Genomic DNA, 22,975 nt, shown 5'->3' with positions numbered 1-22,975 from the left:
ACTCACTAAAACAGCTTAGAAATATCTACAGTTCTTATTGATAACATTTTCCTTCCTATTCTCCTTTCTGAAGACAATTATTTATATATCAAAATGTTCAGCTGAAAGGGAAATCTCTCTCCCAGCTCAGTTTCTCCTGTTCCATTCACAGCTGAAATAACTTACCTATGAAACACTTCTAGGATCATTATATGTTGGAATCCTGAATTCTGCTCTATCTCCCTCATTATCAAAAAGCTCTCACCATTTTCTTACATACCCTCAAAATGTCAAAAAATATGTAGGCATCAAATACAAAGTCTAAGTCTTTTCCTTCCTTGCTTTATGCATTCACATACTATATGCTGCAAGAAAACAATAAAAATACCTACTGACTTTATTCTTACTTACAGGTATTTTCACCTACAGCAATCTACCTGACTAGATCTACTTGTCTGCCATCTACAGAGCAAGTAACTGAGGCCTCAATAGACAGGTTGTGCTACTGCGCAGGAATGAGTTCCCGGTTCATCTTTCATTACTTCACTCTTCTCCAGACTGTGCTATATTACCTCACACTATGCATCTCCCTTTTTATAATGAGAGTTACTGCAATTTTAAATATCTCATTTTGCTTCACAGTCATCAATCCTTTGTTGACAAAAATCTACCTTACTGATAATGCCCCAACCAAATATAAATCAACTACTTTCTCTTGCATACATGAAGTGAAATAAATAGAACAGCATGTTTTATTCTAAGCAGAAGACTGTCTCAAACGTATGTACTTACCACAGGAACTATCTGAAATAGGTGATTACTGTTACAGTGATCCAGTAAACGCTGTCTGGTAAAATTTGATTCTTGACACAGGGGACACTTAAAAGTAGGATGACCAGAAGAACTATAAAACAATTTTAAGTGAAACATACTTAATTCAGAATAACACAAAAATAACGCTCTCCTATTTTTTGAGGAATCACTATACATTTTTTAAAAAAGTTATAATTATTAGACTATTCAAAGATTCTCTCATTTTGAACATATGTATTCAGGAAATGATGCATTACAGAGGTTCCCAATCTCAGTTTACAGTACTCTTAGTGTCCTCAATAAATTTTTTCATGGCACCTCTAGGCCAAAACAAAAACAAAAACAAAAACCTAGCTGACTCCATATATTATGTAGTTAGGTCCAAACTTAATTGTAGTTGTTTTCTGATGCCAATAGCTGTCACTGTATGTCCCTTGAAAATTTTTAATATTCTGTAGTATTCCACATTTTGCAAACCTTTTATCTAGGAACTTAAAACTTCTAAAAGACTTCCATCAATATCGTATCTCTAATAAATACCAGGCCCTAGGAATCCAACATCCAAAATTCAAAGGAAAAGAAAAAACAAAAGCACTGATCATGAGAATGAAATACTCGAAAACATTCTGAGGATCAAGCATCACTGAGTTTTAATACTTCTGAATTTCAGGAAGGGACAGTTCAACACAGACAACTTTACCTGAATCGTGTGTGGAAGAAACCTGACCACAGTGAAAGAGAATAACTAAACTCTTCTAACCTAATGTGATTCTTAAAAGCAGTAACTGCATTTTCTATTTCTAAACTGCTAACTTCAAACACTATGCCTAATGATGTAACTGATTTTTTTTTTTTTTTTAAGTTTAATTTATGGCCAGGCGCAGTGGCTCATGCCTGTAATCCCAGCACTTTGGGAGGCCAAGGCAGGTGGATTATCTGAGGTCAGGAGTTCGAGACCAGCCTGGCCAACATGGTGAAACCCTGTTTCTACTAAAAATACAAAAATTAGCCGGGCGTGGTGGCAGGCACCTGTAATACCAGATACTTGGGAGGCTGAGGCAGGAGAATCACTTGAACCTGAGAGGCGCAGGTTGCAGTGAGCCAAGATCGCACCACTGCACTCCAGCCTGGGAAAACAAAGTGAGACTCCGTCTCAAAAAAAAAAAAAAAAAGTTTAATTTAAAAAGCTATTTGATAAGTGATAAATATAATATTACTTGCTAAAGTGGCAGGATTTTTCAAAAGCTTACCTTGTATTCTCTTGGTAAGTTTCTGTGTTATCAGATGTGGATGTTTCACTCCTATTGCTTAAGAAGCACAGGGGAAAAAGTTAATACCTCAAAGTAATGAAAACACACTAAAGGTTCATTATCTTGAACCATTAATGAAGAAGACTAGTCTGAATTTGTTTTAAAAGTCTGAACTTCAATACACCTTTTTCCTATTGGGTCCTTGAAAAAACAAAATTTGAACTTCAAATGGTTCTGAACTATGAAATAATTACAATATTAATTACTTTTAAATAAATTGACTGCTTACTAGATTCTTATTTATGTTCTTTAAAATTAACTTATGCACAGTTACAGAAGTATAGAGAATTTTGCAGAATTACCTTAAATCCCATTCCTCTACCTTTACCTAGACTAGTAAGGTTTTAAATGCTACGGTAGACTCAAGAATTTGTGAACTTTTTTACTTCAAACTAGGACATGGTATAAGGTTATGCCCTCCAAAGTGCAGTAATTTAAGAAAATATGTAAATGTTCATTATGTTTGTATTTTATTTCCAGAAAGGAAAGAAACCAGGCTTCACTAACATTTAATATACAGAACAACTTAACATCTCCACTTTTACCATATGCCAGAGAGTCATGTGTCACATGGAATATCAGAGGAATCCTGAGGGAAGAGTAAGTATTCCATACAGGGACCGTCACCTGTGTGCTACAGAATTTGATCAATGTGGTCAATTTTATTTATTTAGTTAGTTAGTTAGTTTTTGAGCTGGAGTCTCAATCTGTCGCCCAGGCTGGAGTGCAGTGGTGCAATCTTGGCTCACTGCAACCTCTGCCTCCTGGGTTCGAGCAATTTTTCTGCCTCAGCCTCCCAAGTAGCTGGGATTACAGGCGTGAGCCACCATGACCGGCTAATTTTTGTATTTTTAGTAGAGACGGGGTTTCGCCATGTTAGCCAGGCTGGTCTTGAACTCCTGAGCTCAAGTGATCCGCCCACCTCAGCCTCCCAAACTGCTGCGATTACAGGTGTGAGCCACCGCGCCTGGCCCAATGTGCTCAATTTTATAAAAGCAACGTCTTTCAATAGTAGAAATCTTAACACAGTAATAAGATAAGTAGTGGCTAAGAAAAATTGTACAATACAGGTTGGTTCTATATCTCAATGCCAGAGTTTAAAAAGTTGAACTTAAACTGGTTATTCATTTTTCCTTTATAAAAAGACAAGGAGTACTATATCATCTACTTAGCAGCTGATCTTTCTTTTCTGTTTACTTTCATAATAAATGTGTATACAACAATGTGTACACAGTGAAAAGGCACCATTCCAATGACACTCAGTTCACTTCTGTGAAGATAACAATGTTATCTCTCCACACATAGCCCAAGCGAGCAAGCAGACTTCACTGTTAAAATACATAACCCAGGCCGGGCACAGTGGCTCACACCTGTAATCCCAGCACTTTGCAAGGCTGAGGCGGGTGGATCACAAGGTCAGGAGTTCGAGATCAGCCTAGCCAACATGGTGAAACCCCGTCTCTACTAAAAATACAAAAATTAGCCGGGTGTGGTGACGGGCGCCTGTAATCCCAACTACTCGGGAGGCTGAGGCATGAGAATCGCTTGAAACCGGAAGGCGGAGGTTGCAGTGAGCTAAGATCATGCCACTGCACTCCAGCCTGGGCAACAAGAGCGAAACTCAGTCTGAAAAAAAAGTACATAACCTAAATAGAAGACTATTAAACTACTATTTGTACCTTTCTGGAACTAAAAACCTGCTCTTTAAAATAAAGTCAAATTATGGAGAGTGCACTTATTAAGGGAGTGGTTACATGATTTTGTTACCAAAAACAGCATGTGTCACCAATTAAAGAAAAACAACTCATATCTATACATTTAAAATTGGTAGATGTTTCTAACCAGCTTAAAAAATCTTCCAAATTAATATAATCACTGGGTTTTGAATGTGCCCTTTAAAAATACTGTTAACAACTTCTAATAGGTTTATAGAACTATAATATCATTGGGGAGGATGAAAATTTCAGCAACAGTCCTTTTTATATTTAGAAAATAGGATTAAAACTTTTTTCTTTTTTTGAGATGGAGTTTCGCTCTTATTGCCCCGGCTGGAATGCAGTGGCGCGACCGCGGCTCACCACAACCTCCGCCTCCCAGGTTCAAGTGATTCTCCTGCCTCAGCCTCCTGAGAAGCTAGGATTACCGGCATGTACCACCACACCCGGCTCATTTTGTATTTTTAGTAAAGACGGAGTTTCTCCATGTTGGTCAGGCTGGTCTCAAACTCCCAACCTCAGGTGATCTGCCCGCCTTGGCCTCCCAAAGTGCTGGGATTACAAGCATGAGCCACCACACCTGGCCAGGATTGAAAAAATTTTTATTTTATCCTATGGCATACATCTTCCATTTGGATCTGCTTTTTTTTTGTTTTGTTTTTTTTTGAGACAGTCTCACTCTTGTCTCCCAGGCTGGAGTGCAGCGGCGCGATCGCGGCTAATTGCAAACTCCTCCTCCTGGGTTCAAGTGATTCTCGTGCCTCAGCCTCCCGAGTAGCTGGGTCTATCGGCCATGCCACCATGCCTGGCTAATTTTTGTATTTTTAGTAGAGACAGGGTTTCACCATGTTGGCCCAGCTGGTCCTGACCTCAAGTGACCCACCCACCATGGCCTCCCAAAGTACAGGGATTACAGACATGAGCCACCGCCCCCAGCCAGTACTATGCAGTTTTAAATAAACACAAACACTGGGGGTACATACTCAATTCTTTCACTGATAGGGTAATGCAATCACAAAACTTCTGATTTAAAGCATTTAATATCAAAGTTAATGCCCTTTTTAAACACGTTCTCCCTTCTATCTACCATTATAACTCTCAATTTTCCACTATTACTGTCATCATCATCATTCTAGTTCTTCCTAGTCATCCTTGTATCATGCCTAGGCTGTTGTATCATGCCTGCTCATTTAGCCCAGAATAGGTTCAACAATAGAAAATCAATTACTGACAGCAAATTATTATTTTTTTAAAAACTTATGATTTTATCAGATACAGAAACACCAATAAAATTCAATCTCCATAATAAAACAAAAACAAAAAATTATTTTCCCATAGTTATGTCTTGCTTTTTAATTTAATGTTCTATATCACACTTGGTTTACTGCATTCAATAGGATCTCTATCCAATGTTAAATAGTAAGCACAATGCTTTTTAAAAATACAAATGCCTAGACTCCAGATATCAGAATATCTGGAACTCTAGCCAGATGTATATATGTTTTTAATTTCATACATGATTCTGATTTGAGTAAAACTATTAATGGGGAAACCTTAAATTCAGGGTAATACTGACATGGGGCAGATAAACTGTAAAACTAAAAGATCTACGCTAAAAAACTATAGTAAATATTATACTTATTTGTAATATTATAGGTGTATTCCCACTAAAATCAGGAACAAGAAAAGGTGCCTGCTATTTAACACTGAATAGAAAACCTATTCAATGCAATAAATCAAGTATTATATAGAACATTAGGTTTAAAAGAAGCAGACAAAACTATGGGAGAACATAATGATTTTCTATATAATAAATCTAAAAGAATCAACAGGTAGATTATAAGAACTGCCAGATTAGAACTATTACAACTAACAAATCATCAAAGCTGCTGAAAACAAGATTAACATAAAAATCAACTTACTCTCTAGTAATAACTAATTAGATTATCAAACAGGAAAAAAAGGGGGCTCATTTTTATAGCAACAAAAACTATAAGGTTTTACTAGAAAAAGATATAAAACATTTACTCATGTTCTAAATGAACTTTTAATCCATTTCTTTTTAAATGAGAAAGAGGCTGGGGGCAGTGGCTCACTCCTGTAATCCCAGCACTTTGGGAGGCCAAGGCAGGCGGATCACCTGAGGCCAGGAGGCCGAGACCAGCTTGGCCAACATGGCAAAACTCTGTCTCTACCAAAAATACAAAAATTAGCCAGGCGTGGTGGCACATGCCTGTAGTCCCAGCTACTCGGGAGTCTGAGGCAGAAGAATCACTTGAACCCAGAGGCAGAGGTTGTAGTGAGCTGAGATCACGCCATTGCACTCCAGCCTGAGAGACAGAGTTAGACTCTGTCTCAAAAAAATAAAATAAATAAAATAAAATAAAATGAGAAAGAGGCCAGGCACCACAGAGGCTCATGCCTGTGATCCCAACACTTTAGGAGGCCAAGGCGGGAGGACTGTTTGATCCCCAGAGTTTGAGACGGGCCTGGGAAACATAGCGAGACCCTGCCTCAATAAAATAAATAGTAAAATGAGAGAGGTCATATTTCTAGAGGAATGAACAATGGATCACCTCCTACTGCCCCTCCCCCAGAAAAAATCAGGATGCAGAGATGTGTAGAACAGAAGTGGCATTATAAATCAGTAGACAAAGAACTGACTCCTCAATGAATGTTACCAAATGGTTTATCACATGGGGAAAATTTTTCCTACCTCACATTATACATCCCAAATAAATGTGAAAAGCTCAGCTTTTAAAGTTTAAGAAGAAAATATCTTTTATAACCTTCATGTAGAAAAAAATTTCTCAGGCATGATATAAAAAGAAAATTAAAGAATATGCATATACATGTAAATACTTTTCTATGTCAAAAGACACCATACAAAACCAGCCAAAGACTAAACAAAAATATCTGCAATGCATGTAATGAAGGATTATTATTATTATTATTATTTTCTTTTTTTTTGAGACGGAGTCTCGCTCTGTCGCCCAGGCTGGAGTGTTAGTGGCACGATCCCGACTCACTGCAACCTTGGCCTCCCGGGTTCAAGGAATTCTCCTGCCTCAGCCTCCTGAGTAGCTGGGATTACAGGCGCGCACCACCACGCCCAGCTAATTTTTCTATTTTTGGGAGAGACAAGGTTTCACCATGTTGGCCAGGCTGGTCTCGAACTTCTGACCTAGTGATCCACCCACCTCAGCCTCCCAAAGTGCTGGGATTACAGGCGTGAGCCACTGCGCCCGGCATTATTATTATTTTTTGAGAAAGAGTCTTGCTCTGTCTCCCAGGCTGGAATGCAGTGGCCAGATCTCAGATCACTGCAACCTCTGCCTCCTGGGTTCAAGAAATTCTCCTGCCTCAGCCTCCTGAGTAGCTGGGACTACAGGTGTGTGCCACCACGCCTGGCTAATTTTTGTATTTTTAGTAGAGATGGGGTTTCACCATGTTGGCCAGGCTGGTCTTGAACTCCTGACTTCAGGTGATCTGCCCACCTTGGCCTCCCAAAGCTGGGACTACAGGCGTGAGCCACTGCGCCCAGCCATAACAAAGGATTACTATCCAGAATATATGAAGAATGCCTATAAACAAGAAAAAGAACATTTTAATACTATGCCAGATTTCTTCATAGCTATTTAGCCACTTAAAATATTGAACAATCTGGAGAGAAATTTATTAGGAAAAATAAAAGACTGCTGGTAATTTTTTTTTAGTTTTTGTGAAGAGCTGTATTTGAAATAAACTGTATGAGCCTACTGACATCCAGTTACTAACGTTTACAGAGTCAAGATTAGTAAGAACAGCCTGAAAACAGACCAAATGATTTCCAAGGAGGATAAAATTGAAATGTCTTCTGTATCTTAATGATTACATTCATCTTCCCTCCTCCTCCCCACTTCCTGTGGCTAAAGAAAACAAAAATATATAATCTTATGTTAGCAGCAGAATGTTGTTATAAAATAGGAATGGCCTTAGTAAAATTAGCACTGCTATCTAATTATTATGAGAAACTACCCCACACCAATGCAATAATTTTGCTAAAACATCCTCCAATATTTACTAATTTACAGTAAACAGTACTACTCTGAATGATATGAATGAAAGTGACACAGATTATTTTAGATGGCTCAACTGGAAGTTATAGCTTACAGTTAGATACATGGAAAAAATAATGTCTGTTTTACCAATTCCCGTATATTCATAACGTGGAGTGTGTCCAGCACTTCAGAACGTATAATAAACAGTATGAATTAGTGAAATGATCTATGGATTTATTTTGCAATTTTTTTTTCTACTCAGTTGCATGCAAATGCCACTTTAAGAATTTCCATAGCCATGCTCTATTCAGCTCTCTTCTTCAGGTTCTGTTATCTATTTCCTCCTCTCTCCTGCTTTCAGTAGACCCAGAGCACACCATTATTCCTTGTGGCTTCCTATACCCTACTTATATAGTGTACCTAACATACTACTCTTTGAAAATAGTCTCTTTACTAAATTCTCCTCAAATCGCATAATTAGAGCCCACTGTTTCCTGCTCAGACCGTGAATATAACACAGATCATATTTTTCCTACCATTAAAAAAAAAAAATTTCTGGCTGGGCGCGGGTGGTTCATGCCTGTAATCCCATCACTTTGGGAGGCCGAGGCAGGTGGATCACCTGAGGTCAGGAGTTCGAGACCATCCTGTCCAATATGGTGAAACCCCATCTCTACAAAAAATACAAAAATTAGTTGGGCGTGGTGGTGGGCACCTGTAATCCCAGCTACTCAGGAGGCTTAGGCAGGAGAATCACTTGAACCTGGGAGGTCGATGTTGTAGTGAGCTGAGATCGCACCACTGCACTCCAGCCTGGGAGACGAGCAAAACTCTGTCTACAAATAAATAAATTAAAAATAAAAATAAACATTTCTGGCCAGGCGTGGTGGCTCACACCTGTGATCCCAGCACTTTGGAAGGCCAAGGCAGGTGGATCACCGGAGGTCAGGAGTTCGAGACCAGCATGGGCAACAAATTGAGGACCCCATCTCAATGTGTTTAACACCAAAAACCACCCCCCCACCCCAAAAAATCAAAAAATTAGATGGATGTGGTGGCATGCGCCCATGGTCCTAGCTACATGGGAGGCTGAGGCAGAAGGACTGCTTGAGCCCAGGAGGTCAAGGCTACAGTGAGCCATGTTCACGCCATTGCACTCCAGGCTGGATGACAGAGCAAGACCCTGTCTAAAAACAAAACAGAACAAACAAAATAAATTTAAAAATTTAAAAAAAAAAAAAAAAGCTTTTCCTTCCTTTGCCAATTTTCTTACTGACTAAAAATCCACATACAAACTCAATTCTTCCATTGCAATCAGAACTCCGCAAAGGATATAGAAATAAATAAGACTAAAAAGCTCATTCTAGGTGAAGAGACAGGCTGAAATAAATAAATACAATAAAGTTTAGAGATCTAATAGCATAAAGAACAGTTCTACCAAGAAGAAGAAATTCTAGAGCTCAGGAAGGATTTTACTGAGTAGCTAACACTTGGTCTAAGTCTTCAAGGAGAAGAAAAAAGTCAATCAGCTGGCAAAATGCAGGTTGGGATATTACTGGTAAAAGTGTGGAGGTGAGGGAGTGATAATGAGGATGATGAGGAAGAACTAACATTTTCCAAGCAAAGTACTAGTCAAGTTTCTTTACCTGTATTAACTTATTTATTAACTTCAACTCAATGAGGACCTATCATCATCATCGCCTCTCATACCTTTCCTTAAACACATGAGACAACTGAGGCAGTTTCTTGACAATGTAATACAATTAGTAAGTGACATCTGAAATTTGAACCCAGCATTCCGGCTCCAAGCCCACATTTTTAACCACAGTCATACTGTTTTTCAAGAATGGCAAAGAGAGGGAACAAATAAATCAACATGGCTAAGGCATGTGATGCAACGATGGATAACCAAGAAAGAGGCTATAAAAAGAGAGGAAAGGGCCAGATCAGAAAGGGCTTTGGAATAAGGAAGTGTGTGTGTGCGTGCGTGCGTGTGTGTGCGTGTGTGTGTGTTTTAGACGGAGTCTGACTCTGTCGCCCAGGCTAGAGTGCAGTGATGTGCTCTCGGCTCACTGCAACCTCCGTTTCCTAGGGTCAAGTGATTCTCCTGCCTAAGCCTCCCAAGTAGCTGGGACTATAGGCACGCGCCACCACGTCCAGCTAATTTTTGTATTTTTAGTAGAGACAAGGTTTCACCATGATGGCCAGGCTGGTCTTGAACTCCTGACCTCAAGTGATCTGCCCACCTTGGCCTCCCAAAATGCTGGGATTACAGGTGTGAGCCACCGCGCCCAGCCAGAATTTTGTCTTTTATACTTCATTAATATTACTTTGGCGATAGAATGTAAAACAGATTAGAGGATAACTACCAGCTAAAAAGGCTATTATCATAGTTCGAGTGAGAGATGATGAGGGCCTGAGCTAGGGAAGTGACAAGATAAAATAAAAGTACAGATGAGGAATATTGCTATTAGGAATCAAGTGTCTATGACCAAGTGGATCTAAGAAATAAGGGGGAGGAAGGCCTGTCTCCTGATAAGAAAATTTGGTCATTAAAAGCGTGATTACAATCATGTATACTAAGAACTTTACTAAAAGCTGGAGATATGCTCAACAAGACAAACACCATCCCCTCACTTAAGAACAATCTATTGGGTAAAAAAGCAGATAGGAAATTACAATAAAGTAGAAGTACAACAATAAGAAAAACATAGAAATGAAGAAACCCAGAAGGACTAAAAAAAAACTATAAGAGCAACAACTTTCAAACAAATTTCCTTGACACTAACAAGTCAAGTAAAATGAGAACCTGAAGTTTTTTCAGACTAGGCAATCAGAAAATTACTGCAGATCTTTACCAGACAATCACTAAAGGTTTTTACCAGAAATTTCAACTGAGTAGGGAAGACGCCTAATGTAGTATGATCAACATGAAGTGCTTAAGGGCGGTTAAGTTACTAAAAATTAGCAATATGTAAAATGAAAGGCTACTAAAATAAAATATTAGAGACTGCTTAACATACTGTCTCCTGGGAACCTTTCTATAATAGTGGCAATATTGTCTTTCCTTACAGTTACGTATGTGCTTACTACTGAAGTTTTCAAAATTAACAATGCATTGTTTAGGGATACATGCATGGGTGATGATACATAAAGAAAATCAAAGGAATGAATAATCCAAATAAGAGAATAGTGGTTGCATCTAGGAGTGTACGGTTCAAATGGGCAGGAGCTCACATAGAGATCCTGAAGTTTTGAAAAATGTTCTTTCTTGACCTGGGTTAATAGGTAACTGGATGTTAATCATTATTTTTTTAAACCACAAGTGCATTTTGGCCATTTTTCTGTGTAAAATACATTTCATAAAAATGTTTAATGTACATGAATCTGAGATAAGATACAAATCAATCCAAATCTAGTTGTTTAAAAGAAATGAGACTCAAACAGAACTGCACTGCACCTGGTTTCATTTTTACATGACATTTTAGAATAAAAATTTCAAACTCTAAGTCTATCCCTTAGATAGCAAAGAAAAAACAGGTTGTAGTTTGCAAATACATTACTGAAAAGGATTTTCTATAGTTTTTCAAATCATTTCAGTTGCAAAATCAGTAAGAGAAAAATCTCCAACTTATTTTTTACTCAAAAAAATGAAAATTCTTAGAATGATTTTAAATAACATAAGCTGAAGTTCATGAAGTCATCTCCCAGATGAGAGCTTACGTGTGCCAAACAGATTTTAAGGCAAATGCTGTAGTTCTGATACTTGGCAATTCACTTTAAAAACACATGTGCACATACACACACACACATCCCCCCAAATACCTTATCATATAGTTCCCAAAACAATTTCCATTTCAATTATGAAAATTCTGTATTTAGGAATAAGTATTGCTTACCTGTTCCCTACTGAATCTTGAGAGATCTGAAAGTTTGGAATGATAGAAGAAACACCATATTCATCCTGATACTTCTTACAAGATTTGTAATGATGTCTCATGCGATAGAATTTAATCTGTAAATTATTAAAATGTGACTTTTAATTTAAAATAGAACTCGTAAGATTTGAAATAGTGTAAAGAGAGGAAAAAATAAAAGTAACTAAATACTCCATTTAAACAGGAGTTGTATTTTTTTAAAGTAAATGATTTCATCCTTAAGTAGGAGTTAAGAATAGATAATACATTTCTGTTCATTAAATGTAGAGATGGAGAAGAGTCCATCTGTCTATAAATTCACTGCAAAAAACAGCAAATAACTTCACACTTGAAAAGACACTACCAGCAGTAGACAAAAAAATTAAAAGCACTAAGAGGATGCCAGATGCTATTGGGCATGTCTTATTATTTAACTTCTGCAGCCTGGCAGAGTTAGAAAGCACTTAAAAAAAAATTAAGTTCCTGGCTGGGTGCAGTGGCTCGCGCTTGTAATCCCAGCCTTTTGGGAGGCTGGGATGGGTGGACTGCTTGAGTTCAGGGGTTCAAGACCAGCCTGAGCAATATGGCAAAATCCTGTTTATACAAAAAATACAAAAATTAGCCAGGTGTAATCTCAGCTACCTGTGGGGCTGAGGCAGGAGGATTGCTTAGAGCCTGGGAAGTCAAAGCTGCAGTGAGCCGAGATTGTGCCACTGTACTCCAGCCTGGGTGACAAAGTGAGACCCTGTCTCAAAAAAAATTAAGTTGCCAGGAATACTTGGAACATTTTTCAGTTTCTCACTGAGAGGAATAGCCAGAATCTCTCGAGTGTGTTTTCCAGCTTCACGTCATTGCCCTGTCAGTTAAACACTTCCTTCAAAAAGATGTAAAAGCAGATCTGACTTGTGTGAATGCATGAAATAGCAACCAGCTTTGCTCACTGAATTCATTAGCTATTAGAAAAAATGTCGGTGATAAATCTATAGACACATGGATATACTCAAAGCCTAACCACCCCTCTCTATTTTATTCCTTCTCCAAATGATAGAATAAAATCCAGATTAGAGAATTAATGCTGGTTATTTGTTAACACCTGATTTTCCTACATGTTCCTTAAAATTAACCAAATATTTTGTGATTTCTTTCTTCTTCTTTTTTTTTAGACAGCGTTTCGCTCTTGTTGCCCAGTTTGGAGTGCAATGGCGCAATCTCAGCTCACCGCAACCTCTGCCGCCCAGGTTCAAACAATTCTGCCTCAGCCTCCCAAGTAGCTGGGATTATAGGCATGCGCCACCACACCTGGCTGATTTTTTATTTTTAGTAGAGACGGGGTTTCACCATGTTGGTCAGGCTGGTCTCGAACTCCTGACCTCAGGTCATCCACCCACCTTGGCCTCCCATAAGTGCTGGGATTACAGGCATGAGCCACCATGCCCGGCCCTTGTGATTTCTTAAATACATACATAAATACATAAGTAAAGTGAGGAGCTAGAGAGTTCCTTAAACTACATAAATCCATGTGCCCAAACTAGTAACATTTCTATGTGTAAAGCTGCAATAATGATGCTACCATGAGAAAAACTTAAGGGGTGAATTTGTACCAGAATGGGGTTTAAATGAGCTAAATGCCAGCTTGCTAATTTAGTTACTTTAGCAAGTAATCAATGAGAAATTACTTTTAGAAAAATGCCACGCTAAGTATTATGAAATTCAGTGATTTTTTTTTCAGTCTCATTTCTCAGTAAGTTTATAATCTAGTAAGATCTATGACCACAGCTTTTTTTGGCCTTTTCTATCCAATTCCCAGTCTAAATACCTTTCATCTTTTCAAAAAAAAAAAAAACACCAACCAAGAAAATTCAAATAAGAATTTCAGAGTAGAAACTTGGCTTCCAAAGAAGAGAGATGTCACATTTACTCTACCTGTTTTGCACAGCATCTGCAGCTACCAGAAAACTTCCTCATTATATTTTCAAGGTCTAAGGCCCGTTCAGGACATGCTCTCTCTCTTCTAGTCACATTTCCACGACATAGGGGACAATGTGCTCCGCTTTCCCTCATTGCAGTCAGGAAACATTTTCTACAGAAACTAAACCAAACATTGTGACACATTAATTACAAAAAAAATTACTCTCTTCATCTCTATAATTAAATACAAACAAGTGATTATAAATATGTATTCATATTAAATAAGTTAGGCTACTCATATGTACATAAATCTCAGAAGTTTAGTAACTGTATATGTATTTATCAGAGAGTAAGACTGATAACTGGACTAGATGGGAATATTTGAACAATTACACTCAAGTCTGCTTTACAACTTCTTAACATAATATATGATGAATAAATATTAATGCTACATATTAATAATATTACTAGAGGAAGCATGGTACAAAGGAAAAACCGGATCCTGGCTCTGCCATTTAGTAGCTGTGTAATCTTAGGCCAACAAATTAACGCACACTGGATCTCCATTTCCTCCCCTTACAAAATAAAAGGATGAGTAACATAAGCTTTTGTCTCAAACTGATGTATATCGACATGTTGTTCCACAAGACATAAACAGGTCTACTACAAAAGAGCACACAAATTGGTTTGGGAAGTTCTAGGATAAAGTTAATAGGTTTTACCCAAAGTTAGGTGTTACCCAAAGTTATCTGCGTGTTAACAGATATTTGGTTATTTGGTCCGGAAGTAGGGAAATTTCCCAAACAGTATGCAATGGAACATAATTTGAGAAATACTTAAGAATACTTCCGGCTTTGCCGGGCACGGTGGCTCACGCCTGTAATCCCAGCACTTTGGGACGCTGAAGCAGGCGGATCACGTGGTCAGGAGATCAAGACCATTCTGGCTACCACGGTGAAATCTCGTCTCTACTAAAAATATAAAAAATTAGCCGGGCGTGGTGACAGGCGCCTGTAGTTTCAGCTACCCGGGAGGCTGAGGCAGGAGAATGGCATGAACCCAGGAGACAGAGGTTGCAGTGAGCCGAGATTGCACCACTGCACTCCAGCCTGGGCGACAGAGCAAGACTCCGTCTCAAAAAAAAAAAAAGATTAAACATTTATAACCAACTTTCTAATTAGAATCAAACTAAAATCTTTTTATCTTCTCTAGCCCCACCAAATACCTTATTTGATCATTTTGCTTTCAAGAGAACCAGTTAAATTACAGACATATATATCTGGGATCTAGAATACATATACATTTAATCCAATCTCCTATAAATATATATGAATATTCCTCCTCTATACTAACAGAAGTTGAGAGGAAATGGTGCAGTAACAGATCACATAACCTGAGTTTCCTAACTATGCAGCACTTTTAAACAAGTCAGTTTTTCCCTCTAATATCAGTTTCCTCACTCACGAAATAATAAAAGTATCTACAACTGATTCGGCTGTTCAGAGGATTAAAATAGATAACAAGTATAAAATGCTTAACACATTATTTGTCATGGTCAGGAAAGTGCTCAATAAATAGTAGTTAATATCATTAAAGCAGCACTAGAAGTCATTACCAATTAACACCATAAACTAAAACATTAGGCAGGGCGTAGTGGCTCATGCCTATAATCCCAGTGCTTTGGGAGGACAAGGCAGGAGGACAGCTTGAGGCAAGGAGTTGAAGACCAGCCTGGGCAACATAGCAAGACCCTGTCTCTACAAAAATTAAAAATAAAAAAAATTAGCTGGGTATAGTAGCATGCACGTCCAGTCCCAGCTACTCAGGAGGCTGAGGCGAAGGATCACTTGAGCCCAGGAGGTTGAAGCTGTAGTGAGCTATGAAGGTGCCACTGCATTCCAGCCTGGGTGACAGAGCAATACTGTCTCTCAAAAAACAATAACAATTAAAAATATTTACCATAGCCAGAAACCAAAATAACGCAAAGTAAACAAGATGCCAGTTTTCACTTGCCAAACTAAAAACTAGTTTTATTTATTTTATTTTTTTGAGACAGAGCCTCGCTCTGTCGCCCAGGCTGGAGTACACTGGTGCGATCTTGGCTCACTGCAACCTCTGCCTCCAGGGCTCAAGTAATTTTCCTGCCTCAGCCTACCCAGTAGGTGGGACTACAGGCATGCACCACTGCGACGGCTAATTTTTGTACTTTTTGTAGAGATGGGATTTTGCCAGTTGCTCAGGCTAGTCTTGAACTCCTGAGTTCAAGTGATCCAGCCATCTCAGCCTCCCAAAGTGTTGGGATTACAGGCGTGAGCCATGGTGCCCAGCAAAACTAGTTTTAAAAATAGTAAAAGTAACCAAATCTGGGCACAGCAGCATGTACCTGTAGTCTTAGCCACTTGGGAGGCTGAGGTGGGAGGGTCTCTTGAGCCAATGAGTTCAAGGCCCGCCTGGGTAACACAGCATGACCCTGTCTCTAAAAAAATAGTAATAATAAAACAATGGCCAGGCACAGTGGCTCACACCTGTAATCCTGCACTTTGAGAGGCTGAGCGGGGCAAATGGCTTAAGCTCACAAGACCAGCCTGGGCAACATGGTGAAACCCCATCTCTACTAGCCTGGCATGGTGGCACATGCCTGTAGTCCCAGCTACTCAGGAGGCTGAGGTGAGAGGATCACTTGAGCCTGTGAGGCAGAGGTTGCAGTGAGCTGAGATCGTGCCACTGCACTTCAGCCTGAGCAACAGAGTGAGACCTTGTTTAAAAAAAAAAAAAAAGAAAGAAAAAGACAAAAATGAAAACGGTGGGAAATACCAAGTGTTAGGGAGGATATGAACCAACCTAAACTCACATTGGAGGCTATGGGAGTATAAACTTTTACAACCATTTGGAAAACTGGGTGGCAATATCCATTAGAGCGCATAAATTCCACTCTGAAGTATATACCCATCAAACCTATATACATAAAACCATGGGCAGTGGCTTATGCCTATAATCCCAGCACTTTGGGAGGCCAAGGCGGGAGGATTACTTGAGGCCAGCCTGGACAACATAGTGAGACTTTGCTCCTGTAAAAAAATTAAAAATAAAAATAAAAAATTAGCTGGGCACGGTGGTGCATGCCTGTAGTCCTAGCTACTTGAGAGACTAAGGCAGGAGGATTGCTTGAGTCCAGGGGGTCAAGGCTGCAGTGAGCTATGATCACTCCATTACCCTTCTACCTGAGCAAGAGTGAGACCCTGCATCTATTTAAAAACCAAACAAAACAAAAATTACATATATAATCAGAAAAAATTTGCTAGAAAGTTCATAGCCACACTATTTATAATAGCCCCAAACTGAAAACTATACATAGGTCCGCCAACAGAAGAATGCATAACTAATTATGGTATATTCACAAAATGAAAATTACAATATGATGTATTGAGAATGAAAATGTTACAGCTATAAGCAACAATATGAACATAATGATATAATGTTGAGCTAAACAAGCCAGATATAAAAGAGTACAAACTGCACGATTCTATTTTTTAGAATGTACAAAAAGCACTTAAACTATGTTAAAGGTCAGGATAATGGTATCCTGAAGGAGGTGGGATATGTTCCCTTAGAGAAGGGAACATTAGGGGAGTTTCTGGGATGCTAATAATCTGTTGCTTGACATAGGTGTTGAATGGTTGCTTGATATGGGTGTACTCAATTTGGGAAAATTCACTGAGCTGGATATCTGTGATAGGGACACGTTTCTGTATGCATTTTATACTTAAATAAAAAATATTTGGCCAGGCATGGTGGCTTACGCCTGTAATCCCAGCACCTTGAGGAGCCGAGGCGGGTGGATCACCTGAAGTCAGGAGGTCAAGACCAGCCTGGCCAACATGGCAAAACTCCATCTATACTAAAAATACAAAAATCAGCCAGGTGTGGTGGCAGGTGCCTGTAATCCCAGCTACTCAGGAGGCTAAGGCAGGAGAATCACTCGTACCTGGGAGGTGGAGCTTGCAGTGAGCCGAGATCGCGCCCCAATCTGGGCGACAGAGCGAGAATCCGTCTCCAAAAAAAAAGTACCCTTTAAACAAGGGTAGTTATATTAAAACTGTTATAAAAATAATTAAATAAGGCCGGCACAGTGGCTCACACCTGTAATCCCAGCACTTTGGGAGGCTGAGGCGGGTGGATAACAAGGTCAGGAGTTCGAGACTAGCCTGGCCAACATGGTGAAACCCCGTCTTGACTAATACAAAAAATTAGCCAGGCATGGTGGCACACGCCTGTAATCCTAGCTACTTGGGAGGCTGAGGTAGGAGAATCACTTGAACCTGGGAGGCAGAGGTTGCAGTGAGCCAAGATCGTGCCATTGCACTCCAGCCTGGGTGACAGGGTGAGACTCCATCTCAAAACAAACAAACAAACAAACAAACAAAAAACTAAATTAAGATTATCTTCTAACTGGCCTTTAAAAAAAAACTGCTAAAATTTAAAAAAGGACAAATTACTAGAAAAAAAGGAAAGTGGGCCAGGTACAGTGGCTCACACCTGTAATCCCAGCATTTTGGGAGGCCGAGGAGGGCGGACTGCCTGAGCTGAGTTCGAGACCAGCCTGGGCAACACAGTGGAATGCCGTCTCTACTAAAATACAAAAAAAAATTAGCTGGGCGTGGCAGCGTGCACCTGTAGTCCCAGCTACTCAGGAGGCTGAGGCAGGAGAACTGCTTAAACCCGGGAGGCAGAGGTTGCAGGGAGCCGAGATCGCGCCACTGCACTCCAGCCTGGGTGACAGAGCGAGATTCCGTCTCCAAAAAAAAAAAAAAAAAAAAAGGAAAAAAGGAAAGTGAATTTAACCAGAGACAGTTAACACACAAGAGCCCTAATCCAGTGGCCCAGTAGCCATAGGAGACAGAAAGAGAAAATTATTTTCAAAGAAACAAAAGGAGAAAGTGAGAGTGTGAGGGGAATTTCCAGAGCTAAAAAATATGTCAGCAGAATAGAGACAAGTGAAGGACCTGTACAATAAATTTAAGAGTCACAACCAGAGAGATTACTGGAAAAACTTCAAATAATAATTTTTCAGCCGGGCGCGGTGGCTCACGCCTGTAATACCAGCACTTTGGGAGGCCGAGGCAGGCGGATCACGAGGTCAGGAAATCAAGATCATCCTGGCTCTAACACGGTGAAACCCTGTCTCTACTAAAAATACAAAAAATTAGCTAGGCATGGTGACGGGCGCCTGTAGTCCCAGCTACTCAAGAGGCTGAGGCAGGAGGATGGCGTGAACCTGGGAGGCGGAGCTTGCCATGAACCGAGATCGCACAACTGCACTCAAGCCTGTGTGACAGAGCGAGACTCCATCTCAATAAACAAATAAATAAATAAATAAATAAATAAAATAAAATAAAAAATAATTTTTCAACTTCTAGTATCTTCCAGAGAGGAAGTAAAAATAGATCACCTACTAAGGAAAGAGAATCAGATTAGCATCAAACTCATGAGCAATAACAAATGACAAATAGAATGATGTGTTCAAAGTTCTGAGGAGAAATGATTTATAACCTAGAACTGCATCTTCTGGATATTAAATCATTTTGTATCACTTAAGGCATTTCTGATATAATGTAACATATGAAACACTGAAAACCTTGGCATTCTGCATACCCGCACACTAAAACTTATAGGGCTTATGGAAAAAAATGGTTGGAATAGACCACTCGTGCAACCTTGTCGCCAGACTACTAACAAAACCCAAACAATCCAAATAAAAATACGAACAATTCTGAAAAGGTATGTAAAGTTCCTAATAAACACTTCACCCTAAAATTTTTTTAAAAGAAGAGAGGGATAAGTGGTTGAAGCTGTTAAATTATGGAAATAAATTTAAAATGCACAAGGGAAAGGAGAAACATGCAATAGGTATTCCAAGAGAGAACTCATAGCCAAACTGAACTAAGAAGAATGAATGTTGGGCACCTTGTGTCATAGTGCTTAATTCTATGGTTTGTTATATTCAGCTATGTTTTGATGTGCTTTGCTTCAGCTACCATTTGTTGATGGACCAAAACAATTTTCAGGGGGAAAAAAGTCACATAGAAAGCTATCTGTTCTGATATAATCTGTTGCAGCAAGTAGAACAGACGACATTCAGTCCATCATTTGTCTTTAACCTTGCTGCTTGTGGTCTTCCGATATGGAAATTTTTTAACTTTTAGACATGGCCTTTTCCTAAAATTATGGTTTATGCTTTTGCAGTCTTAAGAATTCCCCACTTCAGGATCAGAGATATTCCCCCACATTTCCTTCTAAAGTTTAAGCTTTGCTCATTAAAGTTTTCAATCCATCTGGAAATATTATCATGTATAGCACACAGCAGAGATTCTACATATAAAGCTATTGCCCAAATACTATCTTACTGATCAAAGCCACCTTTTCCTCATTCATTTGCAATGTCACGTCTATCAAAGATAAAAAGTTCCAAAACGTGTGGAACTATTTCTGGACTCTGTAGTATATTCTAGTCATTTATCTACTGCTGAATGAACACCATACGATTTGGCCAGTGCGGTGGCTCATGCCTGTAATCCCAGCACTTTGGGAGGCCGAGGTGGGTGGATCAATTGAGGTCAGGAGTTCAAGACCAGCCTGGCCAACATGGTGAAACCTGTCTCTACTAAAAATACAAAAATTAGCCATGTATGGTGGCAGGTGCATGTAATCCCAGCTACTCAGGAGGCTGAGGCAGGAGAATCACTTAAACTCAGGAGGCAGAAGTTGCAGTGAGCCAAGATGGTGCCACTGCACTCCAGCCTGGGGGACAGAGGGAGACTCCATCTCAAAAAGAGAAAAAAGCATATGATTTTTTAATTTTCATTTTGTATTTTTATATTTTTAATTTAATAATACTTTCACAGGAAAATCAAAGAAGCCAACCATACTAATTACTATTGTTTCATAATATCTCATTATATCTGATAGGGTTGTGCTATCTGCATGTTCTTCTTTTTCAAATATTTTCTTAGTTATTCATAATCATTAGCTCTTTATTAGAATTTTTTAATCCATTTTTCAAGTTCTACCAAAAAATCATGTTGGGACTTCACCAGAACTGTATGTTTAGAACTGTGTGGAGAAAATTGATACCTTAAATTTATTAAATCTTTCTAACCATAAATGTCATGTTCTCTTACACTTTTCAATAAAGTTTTGTAATTTTCTTTAAGAAGCTGTGTATATTTTTATTGTTTAGTCCAAATAACATTATAATTTTGTTGCTATTGTAAGTGACGTTTTTCTTCTATTAATTTTTTATCTGATTACTGCTGGTATAAAGATATGTTGTTGATTTTTGTCTGTTCTTGCATCAAACCTCCCTGTACTCTTATTGTTTCTCTTGTTTTTAATCGACAAATTATGACAATTTTATCTCTTCCTTTTCCATCTCTGTGTATCTGATTTCTTCTTCTCTCACTGAATTGTCTAAAACCTGAAATACAATGTTAAATGTCAGGGGTGATGCAGACTTCTTTGACTAGTTCCTAACTAGAAAAGCACCTAAAGCTTACAACTAGGTATATTTGCTATAGATTTTAGGGAAGCCACCCTTAATGAGGATTTTTTTTTTTAAACTTTTAGGCCAGGTCTGGTGGCTTATGCATGTAATCTCAGCCCTTTGGGACGCCGAAGTGGGGGGATCATTTGACCTCAGGAGTTCGAGACCAACCTGGCCAACATGGTGAAACCCTGTCTCTACTAAAATACAAAAATTCGCCAGGCATGGTGGCATATACCTGTAATCCCAACTATTTGGGAGGCTAAGTCACTAGAATTGCTTGAACCCAGAAGGCAGAGGTTGCAGTGAGCCAAGATCAGGCCACTGCACTCTGGCATGGGCGACAGAACTAGACTCTGCCTCCAAAAAAAAAAAAAAAAAGTTTTTTAGCCTATTCCTAATTTGCTATGAAGTTTTCTTTTTTTTTTCTGAGACGGAGTCTTGCTCTGTCGCCCAGGCTGGAGTGCAGTGGCGCAATCTCAGCTCACTGCAAGCTCTGCCTCCAGGGTTCACACCATCTCCTGCCTCAGCCTCCCGAGTAGCTGGGACTACAGGTGCCCGCCACCGCGCCCGGCTAATTTTTTTTTGTATTTTTAGTAGAGATGGGGTTTCACCATGTTAGCCAGGATGATCTCGATCTCCTGACCTCGTGATCCACCCGCCTCGGCCTCCCAAAGTGCTGGGATTACAGGCGTGAGCCACCACACCCGGCCCATGAAGTTTTCAAAAGCTCAACATGTACTCTTGTCTAAAAAAATTTTTTTAATGATAAAAAGGGATAATAAAAATATTTTGTGGAAAATTGCTGTTTATTGATTGTGTTCTTTGAAGGACAAACCTTTTTTTTTTCTTGGTGCCTTGAATATCAGGTACACAAAAATGTTTAATCAAATGCTGAATGAGACCAGACACAGTGGCTCGCACCTATAATCTCAACACTTTGGGAGGCTGAGGCAGGAGGATTATTTGAGCCTAGGAGTTCAAGACCAGCCTGGGCAACATAGTGAGATTTCCCCACCTCTACAAAAATTTTTAAAAATTAGTGAGGTATGGTGGTGTGCACCTGTAGTCTCAGCTACTTGCAAGGATGAGGCAGTAGAATTCCTTAACTCCAGGAGTTCAAAGCTACAGTGAACAATGATCACCCCACCCCACTGTACTCCAGCCTGGGCAACAGAGTTAAATTAAAACTAGTCTCTAACCAAAAAATGAAAAATAAACAAATGCTGAATGAATTTTTACTAAAAAAGGAGAAACAAAGCCAACAATTTCTATTCAGCATTTACTTTCAAAAATATTGGCACACAACTAATAAATGCAATGGTCTGGATTCAAAAATATACATATACACACATGTATATATATAGGCTATAAAGACAAAGCAAATATTTAAAGGCATAAAAATATAGAAAAGCAAAAAATCAATTTAGATCACAAAACTATTTTGTTAGAAAATCCCAAATTGGCCAGGCATGGTGGCTCACACCTGTAATCCCTACACTTTGTGAGGCCAAGGCAGGTGGATCACCTAAGGTCAGGAGTTCAAGACCAGCCTGGCCAACATGGTGAAACCCCGTCTCTACTGAAAATAAAAATTAGCTGGGCGTGGTGTTGCGCACCTGTAATCCCAGCTACTCAGGAGGCTGAGGCAGGAGAATCACTTGAACCTGGGAGATGGAGGTTTCAGTGAGCCGAGATAGTGCCACTGTACTCCAGCCTGGGCAACGGAAGGAGACTATTTCTCAAAAAAAAA

The 22,975-nt window shown here is 39.2% G+C and overlaps 1 protein-coding gene across 6 annotated transcripts in view, besides 1 other annotated feature; it reads right to left on the bottom strand.

The window, feature by feature from the left end:
* RNF138 (ring finger protein 138) overlaps positions 1–22,975 on the bottom strand; it is a 39,688-nt gene that overhangs the window by 5,945 nt on the left and 10,768 nt on the right. For 4 of the 6 annotated variants that reach the window (XR_935225.3, NM_016271.5, XM_005258285.2 and 1 more), the window contains 4 exons: positions 13,698–13,863; positions 11,757–11,872; positions 2,043–2,099; positions 772–883 (listed from right to left, as the gene is read on the bottom strand). Coding sequence is in view for 5 of the 6 variants with exons in the window: in NM_016271.5 (NP_057355.2) it covers positions 772–883; positions 2,043–2,099; positions 11,757–11,872; positions 13,698–13,863 (451 nt within the window). In the remaining variant the exon portion in view is untranslated. The remainder of the gene's footprint in view (positions 1–771; positions 884–2,042; positions 2,100–11,756; positions 11,873–13,697; positions 13,864–22,975) is intronic. The other 2 variants (XM_005258286.3, NM_198128.3) reach the window with 1 other exon arrangement.
* Positions 18,806–18,905: an enhancer, noted in NCBI's record as "active region_13212". NCBI's record gives its function as "activates an Ori minimal core promoter by ATAC-STARR-seq in GM12878 lymphoblastoid cells {active_cell/tissue: GM12878}" and the evidence as "EXISTENCE:reporter gene assay evidence [ECO:0000049][PMID:35858748]".

Source organism: Homo sapiens, chromosome 18 (genome assembly GCF_000001405.40).
Source record: "Homo sapiens chromosome 18, GRCh38.p14 Primary Assembly".
Taxonomy (NCBI): domain Eukaryota; kingdom Metazoa; phylum Chordata; class Mammalia; order Primates; family Hominidae; genus Homo; species Homo sapiens.
Note: the sequence above shows the minus strand (reverse complement) of the source record. Positions and strands in the feature narration are given on the sequence as shown.